The sequence below is a fragment of the Homo sapiens genome, chromosome 2 (genome assembly GCF_000001405.40).
Source record: "Homo sapiens chromosome 2, GRCh38.p14 Primary Assembly".
Classification (NCBI taxonomy): Eukaryota; Metazoa; Chordata; class Mammalia; order Primates; family Hominidae; genus Homo; species Homo sapiens.
In genome coordinates, this window is record NC_000002.12 from 171,453,967 (window position 1) to 171,475,829 (window position 21,863).

The 21,863-nt window shown below is 37.3% G+C and overlaps 1 protein-coding gene across 13 annotated transcripts in view; it reads left to right on the forward strand.

Annotated features, from left to right (window-relative positions):
* DCAF17 (DDB1 and CUL4 associated factor 17) overlaps nucleotides 1-21,863 on the forward strand; it is a 50,827-nt gene that overhangs the window by 19,741 nt on the left and 9,223 nt on the right. For 2 of the 13 annotated variants that reach the window (NM_025000.4, XM_006712768.2), the window contains exons 7-10: nucleotides 4,005-4,109; nucleotides 4,406-4,511; nucleotides 14,922-15,064; nucleotides 19,900-20,009. In NM_025000.4, the coding sequence (NP_079276.2) occupies nucleotides 4,005-4,109; nucleotides 4,406-4,511; nucleotides 14,922-15,064; nucleotides 19,900-20,009 (464 nt within the window). Of the gene's footprint in view, nucleotides 1-4,004; nucleotides 4,110-4,405; nucleotides 4,512-6,460; nucleotides 6,534-14,921; nucleotides 15,065-15,352; nucleotides 15,685-19,899; nucleotides 20,010-21,863 lie in introns of those variants that run through there. The other 11 variants (XR_007082530.1, NM_001164821.2, XM_047445913.1 and 8 more) reach the window with 9 other exon arrangements.

Sequence of the window (21,863 nt, forward strand, 5' to 3'; positions counted from 1 at the left end):
TACCGTTCATTGCTTATTTTGTGCCATGCACTTTGAATATTTTACAACATTGTAACGTATATATTTAATTAAGTTAAGCAGCAGTCCCAGCTACTCAGAAGGCTGAGGCAGGAGAATGGTTTGAGCCCAGGAATTCAAGGCTTTGATGAATTATGATTGCACCACTACACTCCAGCCTGGGTGACAGAGTTAGACTCTGTCTCTAAAAAATTAAAATAAAAAATAAAAAGCAGCTACCTAAATCCTAAAGGTGGCAAGTAGAGGATCTAGAATTAAAACAGATTGGCTACTTTATTATAGCAGTCATTATTATTATTATTAATTTTTTTTTTTTTTGAGACAGAGTCTTGCTCTGTCACCCAGGCTGCAGTGCAGTGGCGCAATCTCTGCCCACTGCAATCTCTGCCTCCTGGGTTCAAACAATTCTTCTGCCTCAGCCTCCCGAGTAGCTGGGACTACAGGCGCCTGCCACCACACCCGGCTAATTTTTTGTATTTTTAGTAGAGACGGGGTTTCACTGTGTTAGCCAGGATGGTCTCGATCTCCTGACTTCGTGATCTGCTCACCTCAGCCTCCCAAAGTGCTGGGATTACAGGCATAAGCCACCGCGCCTGGCCAGCACTCATTATTTTAAAATATGTTTGAATTGGCCTGGTGCAGTGGCTCACACCTGTAATTTCAGCACTTTGGGAGGCTGAGGCAGGCCGGTCATTTGAGGTTAGGAGATCAATACCAGCCTGGCCAACATGGTGAAGCCCCGTCTCTACTAAAAATATAAAAATTAGCCACGGGTGGTAGTGCACACCTGTAGTCCCAGCTACTCGGGAGGCTGAGGTGGGAGAATCGCTTGAACCTAGGAGGTAGATATTGCAGTGAGCCAGGATTGTGCCACGGCAACAGAGCAAAACTCCATCTCAAAAAAAAAAAAAGTTTGAATTGCACAAGTCCTCTTTTTCTTCTTTTACTTTTTCTTTCTTTTTTTAAAGCTTTTCTTTATATATTTTCTTTTTTTTTTAACTTCTAAGTTCAGGGGTACATGTGCATTATGTGCAGGTTTGTTATATAGATAAACATGTGTCATGGGGGTTTGTTGTACAGATTATTTCATTCCTCAGGTTTAAGCCTAATATCTATTAGTTATTTTTCCTGATCCTTTCCCTCCTCCCACCCTCCACCCTCCACCCTCCGATAGGCCCGAGTGTGTGTTGTTCCCCTCTATGTGTCCATGTATTCTCATCATTCCATGTGTTCTCATCATTTAACTCCCACTTACAAGTGAGAACATGGAGTATTTGGTTTTCTGTTCCTGTTTTAGTTTGCTAAGGTTAATGGCCTCTGGCTCCATCCACGTCCCTGCAAAGGACATGATCTTGTTCTTTTTGTGGCTGCATAGTATTCCCTGGTGTATATGTACAACATTTTCGTTACCCAGTCTATCACTGATGGACATTTAGGTTGGTTCCATGTCTTTGCTCTTGTGAACAGTGCTGCAGTGAACGTATATGTGCATGTGTCTTTTATATTTATAATAGAAGGATTTATATCCCTTTGGATATATACCCAGTAATGGGATTGCAGGGTTAAATGGTATTTCTGTCTTTAGGTCTTTGAGGAACCACCACACTGTCTTCCATAATGGTCAGACTAATTTCCATTGACACAAACAGTGTATAAGTGTTTCCTTTTCTCCACAACCTTGCCAGCATCTGTTATTTTTTGACTTTTTAATAATATCCATTCTGACTGGTGTGAAATGGTACCTCATTGTGGTTTTGATTTGCATTTCTCTAATGATCAGTGATGTTGAGCTTTTTTTCATGTGCTTGTTGGCCACATGTATGCCATCTTTTTAGAAGTATCTGTTCATGTCCTTTGCCCACTTTTTAATGGGGTTGTTTTTTTTTCTTGTAAATTTGTTGAAGTTCCTTTTAGATTCTGGATATTAGACCTTTGTCAGAGGTATGGATTGCAAAAATGTTCTTCCATACTGTAGGATGTCTGTTGACTCTGTTGATGGTTTCTTTTGCTGTGCAGAAGCTCTTTAGTTTAAGTAGATCCTATTTGTCAATTTTTGCTTCTGTTGCAATTGCTTTTGGTGTTTTCATCATGAAATCTTTGCCCATGCCTATGTCCAGAATGATATTGCCTAGGTTATCTTCCAGGGTTTTTATAGTTTTGGGTTTTAGATTTAAGTCTTTAATCCATCTTGAGTTAATTTTTGCGTATGGTGTAAGGAAGGGGTCGAGTTTCAATTTTCTGCATATGGCTAGCCAGTTATCCCAGCACCACAGGGAATCCTTTCCCCATTGCTTGTTTTTGTCAAGTTTGTCGAAGATCAGATAGTTACAGGTGTGCAGTCTTATTAATATTTCTGGGTTCTCTCTTGGTTTATGTTTCTGTTCTTGTACCAGTACCATGCTGTTTTGGTTACTGTAGCCCTGTAGTATAGTTTGAAGTCAGATAGCATGATGTCTCCAGCTTTGTTCTTTTTGCTTAGGATTGCCTTGGCTAATTCAGCCTCTGTTTTGGTTCCATAGGAATTCTAAAATAGTTTTTTCTAGTTCTGTGAAGAACATCAGTGGTAGTTTAATGGGAATAGCATTAAATATATAAATTGCTTTGGCCAATATGGCCATTTTAATGCTATTGATTCTTCCTAACCATGAACATGGAGTGTTTTTCCATTTGTTTGTGTCATCTTTGTAGATCTCCTTGTAGAGATCTTTCACTTCCTCTGTTAGCTGTATTCCTAGGTATTTTATTCTTTTTAGGACAACTGTGAATGAGAGTTTGTTCATTATTTAACTCTTGGCTTGACTGTGGTTGTTGTATAGGAATGCTAGCAATTTTTGCATATTGATTTTGTATCCTGAGACTTTGCTGATGTTGCTTATCAGTTTAAGAAGCTTTTGGATTAGACAATGGGGTTTTCTAGATACAGGATCATGTCGTTTGAAAAGAGGGATAGTTTGACTTCCTTTCTTCCTATTTGAATGCCTTTTATTTGTTTCTCTTGCCTGATGGCTCTGGCCAGAATTTCCAACACACTGTTGAATAGGAATGGTGAGAGTGGACATCCTTGTCTTGTGCTGGTTTTCAAGGGGAGTGACAAGATGTCTTTTTTCAAAGTGGGAAACTAGGATCAGTGAATTAAAAAGTCATGAACTAGTCAATGTCAGAGTAAACAATACTTATCCTTCTAAGAGATGACAAAAAATACAACTCATAATTTAATTGTTCTCTCTGTGCCTGTAGGTTAAGTACTTATGTTTGCTTATTACAGTCTACAACAGAAATGAACATGTGGCAAAGTAATAAACTGTTTCTATTTATTCCTGTATGTCCAAGGTAATTGGACATCTTCCTCTATTCCTGTATTTCCAAGGTAATTGGACAAGGACATCTTCATTTAAGTAGTTTGTTTTTGATTAAGCTGCTGAATTGTATAAAAATAAGAATAATAGAAAAATATGCAATTAGAGAGATTTGGTTTTAAATATTGTTACTTGGGATTGAAGAACATCTTTCACTTACCATGCATGAAAGACTATCCAGGGGCTGGGCACCTCTAATTAACTAAAAATTTGTCTCTATTTTATAAAGAACATTTTAGCATAAAGAATTGATCCTTGGAAGAGTATGAATAGTAGATTAAATATTCATTTAGAACGACATGGCCTTGGTGTATGCCAGTGTCTATGAGGAATGGAATTTGTTATTAATAGATATTGACAATGCTATGAAGCAGATGAATGCTGGTGCATTATTCTGAGGGATGTGTGCCGCACTTCCATTAGTGCTCCAGTATGAGAATCCAGTGGCTTACTGTTCACTCCTAATAACACCCTAGCCTCAAGGTGATAAATTATAATGAGGTTTTAATGCTAGGCGGCAGTGTTATCATAGTGACATGAATATTAAGCAAGAGTACAAACCACTGTGAACATTCAGAGGATTGGACTTCCAGTCTTTTCTCAGGTGATATCTGTCTTTCCCCCCGCCAGATTTTTGGGAACGTTACAGATGCTACCTTGTCTCATGGAATACTGATTGTGATGTACAGCTCAGGACTGGTCAGACTCTATAGCTTCCAAACCATCGCTGAACAGGTAGAGAAAACTGAAATTTGTCATGTTACTATTAGCATGAGTTTTCGACTAAAGTATGATTTTTTTTTTTAGTGAGATGCTTTTAGAGTAAGGCACTTCTGTAGATTTTGGCTCTAAAAAACTGTAGAAATGTAGAAGACAAGTAACCTTTAAAGCAGGGGTGGGGAAGATAAACAGAAAGGCCATTGGAAAAAGACATTTTCTTTGTCATATACATGTGAATTTTATTTTTGTTCTCTCCAGATATCAAATAAATAGGTGCTAAAGCCACCATTTTTGTTTTGTTTTGTTTTTAGTTCATGCAACAGAAACTTGACTTAGGGTGTGCATGCAGATGGGGTGGGACTACTGGAACTGTAGGAGAGGCTCCTTTTGGCATTCCTTGTAATATTAAAATCACAGGTATGGCTACTCTATAGTATTTTTTCACCTTAAAAAAATTAAGTGGTCATATAAATAGTTATTAATTATAGTCATCCAAATGTTTTTCTCATTTATTTAAAAAACTCAATTCATTTTACTCCTATACATCATGTGCCTTGCTATTCAATAATGAATAAGCTTCGAGGAAAATCTGTCAGTTATTCATTGAACCAAAGGCCTGGGGATGCTGAGCCTTGCTTGGCCACAGACCTTTAGCAATTCACTTTACTTTTCTGATCCTTGATTTCCTTATCTGCAAAATGAGTTGCAGCAAATGATACCATCTTAGCTCTCTTATAACTTAGTATTTTACAATTCGATGAAATTTACCCCCTCTCTAAGAAAGGTGTTTTCCAAGAAAAAATTTTTACCATGACATCTGAACATAGAGCTTAGACACAGACAGAACTTCCCAGTATACTTAAAGAGTGCCAAATCACAAAAAGAAAATTATATACAAGTCTATAAATATAGTAAAAATGTTCTATATTTAGCTTATGAAATTCAGTTGTTAGAAAAGAAATCAACTGGCCAGGCATGGTGGCTCATGCCCGTAATCCCAGCACTTTGGGAGGCTGAGGCGGGCGGATCACTTGAGGTTGGGAGTTTGAGACCAGCCTGACCAACGTGGAGAAACCCCATCTCTACTAAAAATACAAATTAGCCAGGCGTGGTGGCACATGCCTGTAATCCCACCTACTCGCAAGGGAGGCTGAGGCAGGAGAATAACTTAGACCTAGGAGGCAGAGGTTGTGGTGAGCCAAGATCATGCCATTGCACTCCAGCCTGGGCAACAAGAGCGAAACTCCATCTCAAAAAAAAAGAAAAGAAATCAACTATTACTCAAATTCAGTAGTAGTACATTAAAAGAAATAGATCATGACTGTTCAGAGTTCATCTCAGGAATCCAAGGATGGTTTAATGTTTACAAATTTAGTAGCTATAAAGATCACATGAGTAAACTAAAAGAGAAAATTTTCTTTATTATCCTAATATCTGTTTATCTTAATTCTTGTTCATTAAGACTCATTCCTTATCATGTTGAACACATTCCTCTTATTTATAACCAACCAATAAGCATTATATTTTTAGGTGAAATGCCAAAGGATTTTCTAATATATGCAGAATAAGATAAGAATTTTTTCTATCATTTTTCCTTAACATTGTATTAGTAATAGACCAAGAAACAGAAATGAATGATGTCATTGTTCAAAAGGAAAAAAATATTATTTTTGGTAGTAAATGACAAATTATAAAAACTACTGGGAGTTCAAGTAAGTTATTCATGAAGTTCAAAATAAATATTTTAAAAATTACTCAAGTTTTTAGATGCCTTGGACAAACTGAATTAGGCAGTTGTATGAAAATTCAGCTCTAGCAATACCTCCTGTATTCAGTACAAATACATTAAAAGCAATCTATTAAGAATTTTAAAACTGTAGGCTGCAGTGGTAACCAGGTTATTTTGAAATGGGTTATTTTGGACAGAGTTTTTCCAAATGGTAGCATTTTTCTTGTTGAAATGCAAATAAAAAGTAAGTAAAGTCTGGGCACAGTGGCTCAAGACTGTAATTCCAGCACTTTGGGAGGCTGAGGCGGGTGGATCACGAGGTCAGGAGTTCGAGACCAGCCTGGCTAACATGGTGAAACCCCATCTCTACTAAAAATACAAAAATTAGCTAGGCACGGTGGCAGGCACCTGTAATCCCAGCTACTTGGGAGGCTGAGGCAGGAGAATTGTTTGAACCCAGGAGATGGAGGTTGCAGTGAGCCGAGATCGTGCCACTGCACTCTAGCCTGGGCGATTGAGCGAGATTCCATCTCAAAAAAAAAAAAAAAAAAAGTGAGTAAAACAAAAGAACAAAGATGATAAAGACAAAGTACATAGAGCCTGAAGAATTGACCTGGAGTTTTATCCCTTTTTTTAGAAAGAAGACTGGATTTGGGATCAGAATTTTAGTCTGCTGACTAGTAAGGGTGACACTCTGCTACTAATTGGTGGTATGATAGTGGGCAAATTATTATTATTATTATTATTATTATTAATTTTGAGACAGGGTCTCACTCTGTTGCCCAGAGTGGAGTGCAGTGGAGAGATCACAGCTCACTGCCACCTCCACCTCTTGGGCTCAAGTGATCATCCTACATTAGCCTCCCAAGTAGCTGGGACTACAGGTGCATGCCACCACACCCAGCTAATTTTTGTATTTTTTGTTTGGTGGAGATGGTGTTTCACTATGTTGCTCAATTTGGCCTTGAACTCCTGGGCTCAAGCAGTCTGCCTACCTCATCCGCCCAAAGTGCTGGGATTACAGGCATGAGCCACTGTGCCCAGCTGATAGTGGGCAAGTTATTTAACCTCTCTGGGCCTCAAATTTTGAAACTTTGAAATAATAATATTTGAAAACATGATCTATGAAATCATTTGTCATTGTAAAAAAAAATAATTCAATGATTTTTGTATGTTTGACTAAGAAAATTAGCACATTATATTGGAAGCTTTCAGTGTTTATTTCATACTGTAGAGACTTAAATCCCATTCATTTCTCCAAATTTGTTTTTCAATCTTAAGGTCTATACAAATAGTATTTATTTTAACTTTAAATAACTTTTTTTCTTAGTGCAAAAGCAGTTCCTTTGCATTATTTAAAAAATTGGGAAATTGGCCAGGCGTGGTGCCTCATGCCTGTAATCCCAGCACTTTAGGAGGCTGACGCGGGCAGATCACTTGAGGTCAGGAGTGCAAGACCAGCCTGGCCAACACAGTGAAACCCCGTCTCTACCAAAAATACAAAAAATTAGCCTGTAATCTCAGCTACTCAGGAGGCTGAGGCAGGAGAATTGCTTGAACCCAGGAGGCAGAGGTTGCAGTGAGCCGAGATCGTGCCACTGCACTCCAGCCTGGGCGACAGAGCAAGACTCTGTCTCAAAAGGAAAGAAAAAAAGAAAAAATAAAATAAAATTTAAAAATTGGGAAATAAAGATAAGCAAAAGAGAAAATGTAAAACATTATAGTCCTCTTACATGGGGTTAACTGTTATCTCCTTGATGTGTAATTTTCTAATCTTATAATGTATATATTTCTATATGTTTAAAACCAAGAAAAGAATCATACCATAAGTGCTCTTTTATAACTCACTTGTTAAGAAATCAACTCTATTGAGGTATAATTTACATGTAATTAAAATGCACCCATTTTAACTGTACAGTTTGAGTTTTGTCAAATGTATACATCCATGAAATCACCACTACAGTCAAGATTTAGAATCTTTTCATCATCCCAAAAAGTTCCCCTGTGCTCTTCGCAGTAAATTCCTCTCTTAACCCAGCCCTAGGCAACCAGTGATCTGCTTTTTTTTCACAGTAGATTAAATTTATATTTTCTGGAGTTTTATATTAATGAAATCACATGGCATGTATTTTTTGGTTTGGCTTCTTTCACTCAGGATATTATATTTGAGATTCGTTTCATGTTGTTGCATGTATCTATAGCCTAACCCACTTTTTGATGTTAATATATTATGAGTATTTCCATCTAGATTATTTAATAGGTGGCCTTGTGAAAACAACAAAGTTGTAATCCTATCTCACTCTTAAATAATAGATGGATCAAAGACTTAAAAGTTTTAGAAGAAAACTTGGGAGAATCTTTTTATCTCAGTGTGGGGAAGACCTTTTTAAGTATGGCACAAAACCCAAAGCCATAAAAGAAGAGATTGATAAATTTGATTATATAAAAATAAAATTCTGCATGGCAAAAAATCCCCAGAAATATACAACATAAACCAACTCAAATAACAACAGGAGACATAGTTACAAATCATACTGTAATGGGGCAATTTCCTTAATATGTGAAGGGTTCTATAGATCAATAAGAAAAGGAGTGATAACACAATTACAAAATGATCAAAGGATATTGTTTAAAAGAAACAGAAATATAAATGACTTTTAATTAGGGGAGTGCAAAGCTCAATGTCACTGATAAGACAAATGTAAATTAAAATTATTATAAGATAACATCTCTTCAGATTCTTAAATATCAGAAAGTTAGAACTTTCGATACAATATGGTTGGTAAAAGTTTAGGCACTTTCATTTATTGTTGGGACCCTTTATGGCCCCCAACAATTTGTCAATATGACAGTTTGTTAATATGTATCAAAATTTTAAATGCGTGTACTCCTTGAACCCAGCAACTTCAGTACTAGGAATTTATCCCAGATATATTCACTTGTACAGAAAGTGATAAATGTACAATTAAAACATTGTTTCTAATAGCAAAAGATTGGAAACAATCTATACATTGGTAAGTGACATTAGTATTATTATATCATCGTATACAAAAGATTGGAAACAATCTATACATTGGTAAGTGGCATTAGTATTATTATATCACCATATAGCTGTATCACAAATTTAATTGCTAAATTGTTAAAAAGAAGGAGGAGTTTTAACTGGGCATAGTGGCTCATGCCTGTAATCTGAGCACTTTGGGAAGCGAGGCAAGTGGATCACTTGAGGTCAGGAGTTCGAGACCAGCCTAGCCAACATGGCGAAACCCTGTCTCTACTAAAAATACAAAAATTAGTCAGGTGTGGTGGCGAGCACCTGTGATCCCAGCTACTCAGGAGGCTGAGGCACGAGAATCACTTGAACCCAGGAGACAGAGGTTGCGGTGAGTGAGACTGCGCCACTGCACTCCAGCCTGGGCGATGGAGCGAGATTTTAAAAAAAAAAAAAAAACAGAAAGAAGAATTCTTTTTGCACTGGTATAGGATAATTTCCAGGATGTGTACTATTAAGTAAAAAAAAAAAAAAAATCGGTGCAAAACTGTGTATATAAAAATCTTCATTTGTGTAAAGTATTGTGTAAAGTATTCATACTCATGTATTAAAGGAATATATATATGGTGATGTGCTTTTGGATTTGCTTGGAATATCTGAAAGGACACATAAAAACTTGATAAATCGGAAGAGATACAGATCAAAGGAAGACTTAGTTTTCATTATATCTTCTGATACTTCTAAAATGTAGTGCTTGTATTACCTATGTGACAAAGTGGTTCTGTGTGTGTGCATCTCCTTGAGATGTTCAGAACTTGACCTATATGCCATTTTACAAATGAACCATAATTTACTTAACCAGTTCCCTACTTTGGACATTTAGTTTGTTTCTAATTTTGTGATTACAAATAGCATATTTCTATAACTATTAGTGATCCTTGCCTGAATCAGTTATGTCATGTGATTTGCAGAATGGCAGTTTTTAAAACTCTGTTACTGCTTTTACCTTCAATAGCTGGCATTTTTCTAGAAATAAAAGCTTTAACTCATCAGCTAGAGATAAACTGTATTTCCTTCCAAAAGGCAAGTTAAAGACTTATTTCTTCCCTTTAATTATCAATATTCAGAGCAAGGAGTTGGTATAATAGTCACTTTTGATGCCAGCAAAATGTTTTACAGACAAACACACATATATAAACACAATAGACTTGTGGATTTTTTATTTGTCCAATATTATATAGTAATAGTTATTATTCTTAATGATGTTCAAATTGTCCTGAATTTGGCCAACAGAAACTCCATTTTGACACACTCCAGTAATCTTAGAGAATTTCCTCGCTTTCTAGAACAATAATGTGTCCCAGGCTTACCTTTAACTTTCCTATTTCTGATAGGGGGCCATTTTATTAGAGAACGTCATTAGAGACTCTCAGTTTCCTAGAGAGCAACACTACAAACTGGGCAGCTTTAAACAATGGAAATTGATTCTCTCACAGTTCTGGAGTCTAGAAATTCAGAATTAAGGTGTTGGCAGAGGTAGCCTCCCTCTGAAGGCTCTAGGGAAGAATCCTTTCTTACCCCTTCTCGCTTCTGGTGGTTGTTCACAATCTTTGGTGTTTCTTGGCTTGTGGCAGCATAACTCCAAATTCTGCCTCTCACTTTTCCATGGCCTTTCTCCCTCTGTGTCTTCAAATCTCTTTCTCCTTATAAGGACACCAGTCATTGAATTTAGGTCCTATCCTTATCCAGTATGATCTTAACTTGATTATATCTGTAAAGATCCTATTTGCAAATAAAGTCACATTTACCAGTACTGGGGGTTAGGACTTTAACATATCTTTTGAGGGAACACAAGTCAACTCACAACAGAGACCCAGATCTAGTTGTGTTCATTGCAGTTGGATATCTTTACTTTTAGGTCCTTTAAATGAACAGAGCTGAGAAATACATTAAAACAAAAATTCATTAGCTCATTTTCATACTTCCAAATTTAGCCGTTCTTTTTTGATTATATTTGTATTTCTCTTAACTCATACTGAGCTTCTTGATTTCTAATAAAACTTTATCCTACTATATATATATGATAGTCTTAAAATTGCAGTACCAGTGTTACTACTAAGAACTAAAGTATGGGCCAGGTGCGGTGGCTCACACCTGTAATCCCAGCACTTTGGGAGGCCAAGGCAGGTGGATCACTTGAGGTCAGGAGTTCAAGACTAGCCTGGCCAACATGGTGAAACCCTGTCTCTACTAAAAATAGAAAAAATTTAGCCAGGCGTGGTGGTGTGCACTTGTAATCCCAGCTACTCGGGAGGCTGAGGCAGGAGAATCGCATGAACCCGGGAGGTGGAGGTTGCAGTGAGCCGAGATTGCGCCACTGCACTCCAGCCTGGGTGACAGAGTGAAACTCTGTCTCAAAAAGGAAAAAAAAAAAAAAGTATGGGGTGAAGGTTAAGATTTCCCTGCAGTTTCTTTTCTCCTTAGTGTACAGCCCAGTAAGTATACACATGGAGTGATGTGTTCAAAGGCGATTTGAAATCATTTTTCTATAGGATTAAGCTACCAGCATGACCTAATTAGATTCATTTGTTTCATTTTGTTTTCGATTTTGGGGTTTGCTGTTTTCCTTTTGAGTTTATTCTTGAAATTGTGAAATGTGTATATAGTTGAAAGGTTGAAACCGAATAAAAAGATACACTCTTGGAAATTTCTTTTCTTTTTGTTTTGAGAGTTTTGCTGTCACCCAGGCTGGAGTGCAGTGGCGCGATCTCAGCTGACTGCAACCTCCACTCCTTGGTTCAACCAATTCTGCCTCAGCCTCCTGGGTAGCTGGGACTACAGGCACACACCACCACACCTGGCTAATTGTTTTTTTGTATTCTTAGTAGAGGTGGGGTTTTGCCACCTTGGCCAGGCTGGTCTTGAACACCTGACCTCAGGCAATCTACCCACTTTGGCCTCCCAAGGTGCTGGGATTACAGACATGGGCCACTGTGCCCAGCCCCATTTTCTATTTCATTGCTTTCTGTTTTTATTTTTTATTATTTCCTTTAATCCTGTTACTCTCATCAGTAACCATTGTTTTTAGATTCTGGTTTATCTTACTATTGTTTCTTTTTGCAAAAATAAGCAAATTTATGTTTGCATACTTTAAATATTTAATCTTCTTTCTTACATCAAATGCAGTATATCATATCCTCTGTTCTATACCTTATAATTTTACTTAACATGTATCTAAATTAAAAAAAATTTTTTTATTTTTAGTAGAGGTGAGGTTTTGCCATGTTGCCCAGGCTGGTCTCGAACTCCTGGGCTCAAGCAATCCACCCACCTTGGCTTCCTGCAGTGTTGGGATTACAGGCGTGAGCCACCACACCTGGGCAAATTTTCTAAGTAAACATTTATTTGGTAGAAGAAATATATCAAGTTAATTATCCCCTACATTTAAAAATTCTAGAAAAAATCATATTGTATTACAGGTGTAGCCCTTCTTCTTTGATAAATAGTAAAGTTATTTTGTATGCTTTATGTTAAAATTGTCTTTTAAAGTATTATTTGACCTTTCACAGATTTTAAGTATTTTAATTAATCATAATATTTGTTTTCTTTTTAAGGCCCCTTTTTTTCACAATGTAGGAAGTGGAAGCCCTTTTGCTGGCTCTCCTACTCTTTTAATACTTCTCTCTGATATCCTTGTGAACATCCTTGCTTTCTCGAAACAACAGATTGTCCACACCCATCATAAAATTTTCTTACCACAAGACATGGAATCAGCTACTCTGAGAATTTTTAGGCCTTTTTCATTGAGAATATTAGAGATCAAAATTGGGGCTCTTGGGTTCACAGGGCACATTAGAGTTGTGGGCAGAGTAATAGTGCTACTTTTGGGTCATTTTTTGCATTTACTGGGAAAGGTATTTCTTTTTAAGTACATCTGTTTGTACTGTTTTTTTTTTTTTTTCTATTTTGAATTCCTATGTCCTCTATATTGAATTTCATATTCTTTATATATTAAATTTCACATTCTCTATAACATACCTAGTTGATTTCAACCCCAAATTCCAACTCTAATTGTATGTTTTTCTTTTAATAATTTTTCTCTTCTTCATCCACCATATCATCACATACAATGTGTGTATTTCTCTTATAATTTACCAACTCATGCCTTTTTCCCTTTTTCTATTGGGGTGTTTATATTTTTTATTGCTTAAAAGACCTTTATATATTAAAGATACTACCCTTTTCTTAAAAGATTAAAAAAATAAGCACTTGACATATATTTGATATGTTTATGCCTGTCTCTTCTTTTTCCTCAAGATTTTTTGTGAACCACTTTTTATGAAAGTTGACCCTTTACACAGGTTTGAACTGCACAAGTCCACTTATACACAGATTTTTTTCAATAAATACAGGAAAATTTTTTGGAGATTTGCCACAATTAAAAAAAAAATCACAGATGAACCGCATAGCCTAGAAATATGGAAAAAATTAAGAAAAAGGTACATGATGAGTGCATCAAACATATGTAGATACTAGTTTATGTGTTAATTGACTATTTATGTTATTGGTAAGGCTTCTGGTCAACAGTAGGCTATTAGTAGTTAAGTTTTGGGGAAGTCAAAAGTTTGGCTGGGCACAGTGGCTCACCTGTAATCCAAGCACTTTGGGAGGCCGAGGCAGGCGGATCGCTTGTGGCCAGGAGTTTGAGACCAGCCTGGCCAACGTAGTGAAACCCTGTCTCTACTAAAAAGACAAAAACTAGCTGAGTGTGGTGGCATACACCCGTAATTCCAGGTGTAATACTTAGGAGGTTGTAATACTTAGGAGGCTGTGTAATACTTAGGAGGCTGAGGCATGAGAATTGCTTGAACCCAGGAGGTGAAGGTTGCAGTGAGCCAAGATTGTGCTACTGCACTCCAGCCTAGGTGACAGAGCGAGACTGTCTCAAAAAAAAAAAAAAAAAAAAAAAAAAAGTTGTACGTGGATTTTTGACTACACAGGGGATTGGTGCCCCTAACCCTCATGTTGTTTAAGGGTGAACCATTTGTGTTTTTTTCCCATGTATAGCTCTAAGTAGTACATTGTCCTTATGAAGATGCTTAATAAAGTATGCACTTCTGTATATAACATGTGACTCTTACACGAATCATCTTCCTAAGACAAGCCCCTTTACTAATAGTAGTGGCCTCATAAACTAAAAATTAAATTCTCAAGTTAGAGGGTAAATAAGGCAGTCATAGGTTAGCCACCTGCCCAAACAGACCATGTGGTGTTTCCTAAAGGCTGCTTGAAATGAATTCAGGTCTTCTAAAATTGCTATACCTTCTATTTATGCATCTAAGAATAGATCTATTATGCCCTACTTAAAGTTGTGATAAAAGAAGATGACTAAAAATTTCTCTTGGTGCTTTTTAGCACCAAGAGAAATTTATTTTACAGTGTCAGTCTTCAAAAGAAACTGACTGGATATATCTGAACTACCTTAAAGTTAACTTGTCTGATGATAATAGTGGTAGTAGTGACTATCCTGTAATAAAGCTTTCATTGTGACAGGCCCTTTCCTAAGTGGTTACATTCATTGGGACTAATACTCCTCTGTACTGGAAATCTTAAGCAAGATAGATGTATACCTGAGTATACCTGTTAGTCCAGGATGTGGAAGATCTCTTCCTCACATTTGAAGGCATTATTAGACCTAATTACCTTGTAGGATTATTATGAGAGTTGGAAATAGTATCTAACCCAGAGTCTTTACATAGTAGATGTTCAATAAATGTCCGCTACTTTTATTAAATGTACTTTGTCATTTCTTACCATCATAAACACCTTTAGCCCAGTTTCAATCTCTACTCACCTGCGGGCCACATATACCTCCTGAAAACAGATACCTAGAAAGTTGATTCAGCCTAATTTAGGTTCCGACTGGCTGTTTCTTTTCTTACAATAAACTCCTTACCTGATTGTATTTTATTTCCTTGAACATAGTAATTTTTCATTAATAGAAATTTATAGATGTTGCATGCAAAGAAAGGTTGAATTCAGTTAATGAATAGTCCAGAGCCCCCAGAACAGTGCAGCTAATGAATTCCTTTTCCTGTCTCTACAGACATGCCACCACTGCTCTTTGAGGTGTCATCCCTGGAGAATGCTTTTCAGATTGGAGGCCATCCTTGGCACTACATCGTCACACCTAATAAGAAGAAACAGAAAGGAGTTTTCCATATTTGTGCCCTAAAAGACAATTCCCTGGTAAATGAGTGATCAGACTTTTTATTAGCAAATTTGTATCAAGTTCTTTATTTTCTACCTCTCAAATAGGCCCACATTCCTAAGAATTACTTTTTTGTGCATTTGTATTAACAATTTGCAAACAATTTAAAATACAGAAGAATACAGACAATATAGAAAACATTTGTGTGTATCACCCATAATTTTAAAACGTTAACATTTGAAAATTCTTATAGCAACAAGAATTTTATAGTTTTTTTAATCTCACCAATCTCCCAGCAAGGAATCTCATGTAAAACCTCTCCACAGTGGGAATCACCAATGGAATGTGTTCACATTGCTTCTGAAATTGCTGGTGGAATGTGTTGTTGGTTCTGCTTCTCCACGGCTTGTTGCTCTTTGCCTTCCAGAGCAGAACCAGATGGAACTCTGGTGGTCACAGTGTAGGTAAATTGAAGCACTTTGAATTTTTAAGGATATTCTTAAGTTATTTATGGCAGAGTAGGTAGAAATGGTACGTGGTAAAACAATGGAAATTTCTACCCTTCGAATTCATTTTTATTTTCTTTTTAAAAATGGCTTAGGCGTTGATTTGTCATTTAATAAACATTTATTGAGGGCCTACCATGTGCCAGACATGACTAAGGACACAATCTCTTCCCTCAAGTTATACTCTTAAAGGAAACATGTAGAAAAATAAGATGCAATGTATTAAGTACAGTGATTGTGATAAGTGCAAAAAGTGAGTTAAGGGGGGAGTTCCATTTTTATTTTGTATTGCTGATTATGTTTTTTGTTGGTTAGTTTGTTTTTCAAGACAGGATCTCACTGTGTCATCCACGCTGGAGTACAGTGGCACAATCACAGCTCACTGTAGCCTCAACCTCCTGGGTTCAAGTGATCCTCCTGCCACAACCTCCTGAATAGCTAGCACTATAGAAAAATCACTCAAGCTTTAATTGTTGATATTTTTTCTCATTTCATGTGGACATGTCAGTGCAACACTACTTTTATTTTATATTTATTTATTTAGAGACAGAGTCTCACTCTGGTGCCTAGCCTAGAGTGCAGTGGCACAATCAGAGCTCACTGCAGCCTCAACCTCCTGGGCTCAAGTGATCCTCCCACCTCAGCCTCCTGAGCATCTGGGACTATAGGAGCGCACCACCATGCCTGGCTACTTTTTTATTTTTTGTAGAGATGGGGCCTCGCTGTGTTTCCCTGGGTAGTCTCAAACTCCTGGCCTCAAGTGATCCTCCCTCTTGATATATCAGAAGAATTTGCTTTTTTTTTTGAGGCAGGTTCAGCTTATGCTGACCTTGCTCAATCAGTCACTGTTGGCTCCAGTGGCTTTTAGAGTCACAGATCACCTTTCACCACGCACGTTACAGATCACCTTTTACCATGTTGCAGGTCAGCATAGCGTTGGGTCCATTTGTCCACTTCCCTTGATGTCATGGCCATCAGGGGACAATGTGTCTTCTAGTTTTCTTTTGTAGGAGCATTGTTCCCTTCCATTTCCCCAAGTACTTATCACATGGCTGCTCCTATTTGGCCCAGCCCAGTGACGTTCTCTTTTATAAAGGACTCTCTAAGGGCTGTTTTCCACTGTGACAAGTCTTGGTTTGATTGGTCACCTCCCAGTGAGTGGACATCATTCAGCCACCAGGACCTGTCACATCCCTTTTTCACTTAACTTTGGATCTAGTGAAATCCTGCACAGTTCACATTCTGGACATTTAACACGTATTCTTTTTTATAAGAACTGATAGTACCTATTATTTCATACACAAACACACGCACACGTACAGATACAGCCGGCCTTCTATATCCGTGGGTTCCACATCTGTGGATTCAACCAACTATGGATTGGAAATATTCAGAAAAAAAAAGGATGGTATAAGGGATGATGTGCATAGATGCATAGATTATATGCAAATACTGCACCATTTTATATAAGGTACTTGAGCATCCATGGGTTTTGGTATTTGTGAGGGGTCCTGGAAGCAATCCCCTGTGGTTTCCAAGGAATTACTTTAAATCTAAATAATGGCCTTCAACATGTATATCAAGCATGCTTGTCACATACTCTCCTTCTATAATAACTGATTATAACATTTATTCCAATCTATATTTCAGCATACTCTTAAAGAGCTGCCAAATTCAGGGGAAGTTTTTAGTCCTTTTATCACAATTTTATCACTGTGACATTGCTTTAATGATTTGTATGCCTATTAACTCCCCACCTGTTAGTCAGAAGAGTAGATAACTAAAAAAAATGTAAGCAGCCGAACTTAAGATTTCAGAAAATGTTTCATAGCTTTCTCTATTAAACTGAGCTTTAAAATCTAACATTTGAGCAAATAAAAACAATAGAAGCTGATAATAAGCTGCCCAGTATTTCACACAAAAATCTTTTTTTGCATATTTTAATTAGATATTACAGTAAAGAGAACAATCTCCTAAAAAGATATGTATAGTATGTGCATATTTTGTATTAAAGGAGCATCTGGAGCTAATACCATCATGGACACATTAATTTCAGTGGTTACAATCAATCAACATATTTAATTACATTAATTTTCTTTTATGTAAAATGTAATAATACCACTATTTCTATTAGATATAATTAGGATTCTTGTAGAAATTCTTGAAAAATTGAAACTCATTAATTGATTTGATACATAAAATGTATTACATTCCAAAAAATTTAAAAATCATGAGGCCAGGCACAGTGGCTCATGCCTGTAATTCCAGCACTTTGGGAGGCCTAGGCAGGCAGATGGCTTGAGCCCAGGAGTTCAAGATCAGCCTGGGCAGCATGGTGAAACCCTGCCTCCACAAAAAATACAAAAATTAGCCAAGTGTGGTGGTGCACACCTGTGGTCCCAGCTACTTGGGAGGCTGAGGTGAGAGAATTGATTGAGGCCAAGAGGTCAAGGCTCCAGTGAGCCGAGATCACACCACTGCACTCCAGCCTGTGCAACAGAGTGAGACCCTGTCTCAAAAAATAAAAAATAAAAATAAATCATGGCATAGAAAGCACTTACAATATAACCCCAGCCTACCTCTCCAGTATCATGGCTGGATGCTACTTTTCAGTTTAATTTTACCTCCTACTCATGTTTATATGCATACTATATGGATTAGCACGTCTATACTTTTGGTTTTTTTGTTTGTTTTGTTTTGAGACAGGGTTTTACTCTGTTGCCCAGGCTGGAGTGCAGTGGCACGATCTCGGCTTACTGCAAGCTCTGCCTCCTGGGTTCAAGCCATTCTCCTGCCTCAGCCTCCTGAGTAGCTGGGATTACAGGCACACACCACCATGCCCACTAATTTTTGTATTTTTAGTAGAAACAGGGTTTCATCTTGTTGGCCACGCTAGTCTCAAACTCCTGACCTCAAGTGATCCACCTGCCTCGGCCTCCCAAAGTGCTAGGATTACAGGCGTAAGCCACTGCCCCCGGCCGATTAACACTTCTGTACTTTCGATTTTACTGTCTCTTATTTGTAGCTATTTTCTACTTATCCTTTAAGGCTCATTTCAACCTTTTTTTAACTCCCAAAATTCTGTTCACTTGGATATCTGGTGCATGGGTCAATCACTTATTGGAGTACAGTGGCACAATCATAGCTCACAATAACTGCGTTATTATTTTTTGTTTATGTTTCTGCCTCCCCCTAGACTATAAGCTTCTTGATGACAAGGATTATGTTTAATTGATGTGAGGTATGAATGCCTAGTCTGATACCTAGAACATAGTAGCCTATCAATATATGCTAATGGAATTTAAAAGCTTTAGTGTTTCAAAACTCATGAATATCTAGTAGGAAATATGGCATCATTTCATTTTACATTAGAGAAATTAAATTAAATGACTTCTGTAAAGCCAGTGAAGTTAATATATCCAAGTTGATGTTCGTTCCCAGTGCTTCTGGATATAAGGTAATACATTTGTGTACACATGTGATAACATATCAGATGGTTTTTTTCTTTATTTTAATTTCTAAATATACTACAGTGAAATCTCTTCTTGCCTTAAAAGCTAAGCAGTATTAGATCATTTCCTCAGATATTAGAGTTCAACATTTGACTTATCCAAGATTCTGTGACCCATGTCTGAGGCTTTAGGTTTGTTTACATGTTCATTTTTTGTTATCTGCTCTTCTGATTGAAAGATAGTTGGGGATAGGGAAGAGAGGAAGAAGTTGTGGAGAACTGCATGTGCATGATTATGGCAGAGTTATATAATGGAAAGTCCATGGATTTTGGAGTCAGATCTGCTGTTTAGTAGGTTGAAAATATTGGAAAAGGTCAGGTGCAGTGGCTTACGCATGTAGTCCTAGCACTTTAAGAGGCTAAGGTGAGAGGATCACTTGAGGCCAGGAGTTTGATACCAGCCTGGGCAACATAGCGAGACTCTATCTCTATTTAAAAAAAAACAAACAACATACACCAAAAAAAATTGGGCAAATGATTTATTCTATTTGTGTATCAGTTTTCAGTACTTCCTTTGAGTGTTATTAAGATTAAATGAAACAGTGCCTATAAAGCATCAAACGCAGTTCCTGACACAAAGTAGATGCTTGAGATATGGTATCTCTTGGGTTATTAACTCCTGTTTGTGAGATATAGGGTATGTTACAGAACAAATCCATGACATTTCTGAATTTAAATGTTCAGAATTTCTCAAATTTGCATGTCCTCATTTGGCCCTCAAATATATTCCACTTTAACTGGTTAATATTTTTTCTTCCGTGTACCTTTGACCTACTGATCTATCACTTGGGTTAGATTTGTAAAATCATTTGATTTTCCCTTAATCTTTGTCTTTAATACTTTTTTCCAACTTCAGGCAAAAAATGGGATCCAAGAAATGGATTGTTGTTCTCTAGAATCTGACTGGATCTATTTCCATCCTGATGCTTCTGGTAGAATAATACATGTTGGTCCAAATCAAGTCAAGTGAGTAATCTCATTAGCACTTGAAAGTTAAGAGCAGCTTTTGGTAGCATTTATTGGCATCTTTATTTTTGCCAGCGAACTAGTGAGCCAATTAATGGAAATAATTAGCTTGTTGTTGGGTGCTTCCTCAGAGACTGGCATACAGAACACCTGAATTTATTCTTTGAGACTCAACATTACTGTTTGTAAATATTAAATTTGAAAACGTTATTTGATGGATGATATGCAAGTAAAAGGGAATTACAGACTGGCCCTTTCTCATCAGGTCTTAGTTAATTCTATAGGGTTAATAAGAAAGAAGAGTATTTGTCTTTGTTCTGAAAGGCAGCCTAGACACAGGAAAGGAAGTAGATTGTTTGAAGTAAATCTTGTTTTATTTTGATTGGTTTCAGGGCACACACAACTCCCACAAACTGACCTCTCCTTCCCTTAAACACTTCTCATTTGTCATCCCTGACACCACAATTCTGAATATTTTCCTATTTCATCTATCTTTTTTAGTTTGCTTTCATGTTCTTCCTTCTCTACCCAGACTTTAATTGTTGAATGTCCATAGTTGGGTCTTAAGCCCTCTTCTTTTCTCACTGTTTCCATTCTGCATGATTCTATTTATTCCTTTGGCTTCAAGATCATGTATACATGAGAACTCCAAAATGTATATACCAGCCTCAACCTCTCATCTAAACTCATTCCAGAAATCTTGAATCATTCCTGATACCTTCTTACCAATTTGTCTTTCATCAATGTACATACATTTAAACACTTACAGGCATTCTCTTTCTCTCATACATACACACCATATATCCTCTTAATCCAGTTTATTTTGCTACAAAATATTTTTTAAATCTGCCTGTTTCTGCCCTTGGCCACTGTCTTCATCTTGGCCAGGTCACTGTCATCACTAGCCAAGGCTACAGTAATAGCCCACTCCAGGGCTCCAGGATCACTCTTGCGCTGTCTGTTTTCTTCTCAGCAGCTAGCATGATTTTTAAGAACATGAAGAAATATAAAAACCTATGCAAGTGAATTCAAATGCTTTAACCTTTTAATGGCTTTTCATTGCTCTTAGGATAAAAACCAATATAGTTAGCATGGTCCGAAAGACCCTCCTTCAACTCAGTTTACTCTAGTCATGCTGTCTTTTCAGAAAACTGAGGGCCTGTTCCCTCTGTTTGAAGTCTGTTTCCCCTACCTGTTCTGCCTAATTTCTATTCATATTTTATGGCCCAGCTTCAATGTCACTTTTCCACAGACCTTCCCTGATGCCCTTGTTAGATTTGCTTGCCCATCATATTTTCATTGCACCCACTGTGTCGTCTTCCTTTGTAGCACTTAGGGCAACTTAAATAAATTATTTTTGTGATCTTCTGCTTAAATAACTTATTTGGTATCATAAACTCTATGATGACAGGGAAAGAGTCTGTTTTGCTGACACCTATAACCCCAGCACTAAGCATAGTCCTTTGCACAGAGTAGATGCTCAGTATTTGTTGAATAAGAAGAGAAGGGGCTGGGCTTGGTGGTTTAGGCCTATAATCCTGCACTTTGGGAGGCCGAAGCAGGAGGATCCCCTGAAACCAGCAGTTTGAGACCAGCCTGGGCAACATAGTGAGACTTCGTCTCTACAAAAAATAAAAAATAGCCAGGCATGATGGTGGGCACCTGTGGTCTTAGCTCCTCAGGAGTCTGGGGCAGGAGGATCAGCTGAGCCCAGGAGTTCGAGGCTGCAGTGAGCTATGATTGTAGCGCTGTACTCCAGCCTGGGTAATGGAGTAAGACCCTGTCTCTTAAAAAATAAAAAATAACAAAGGGAAGTGTCTGCCTTTATTTTTTATGCTTCGTAGTAATCAGTCT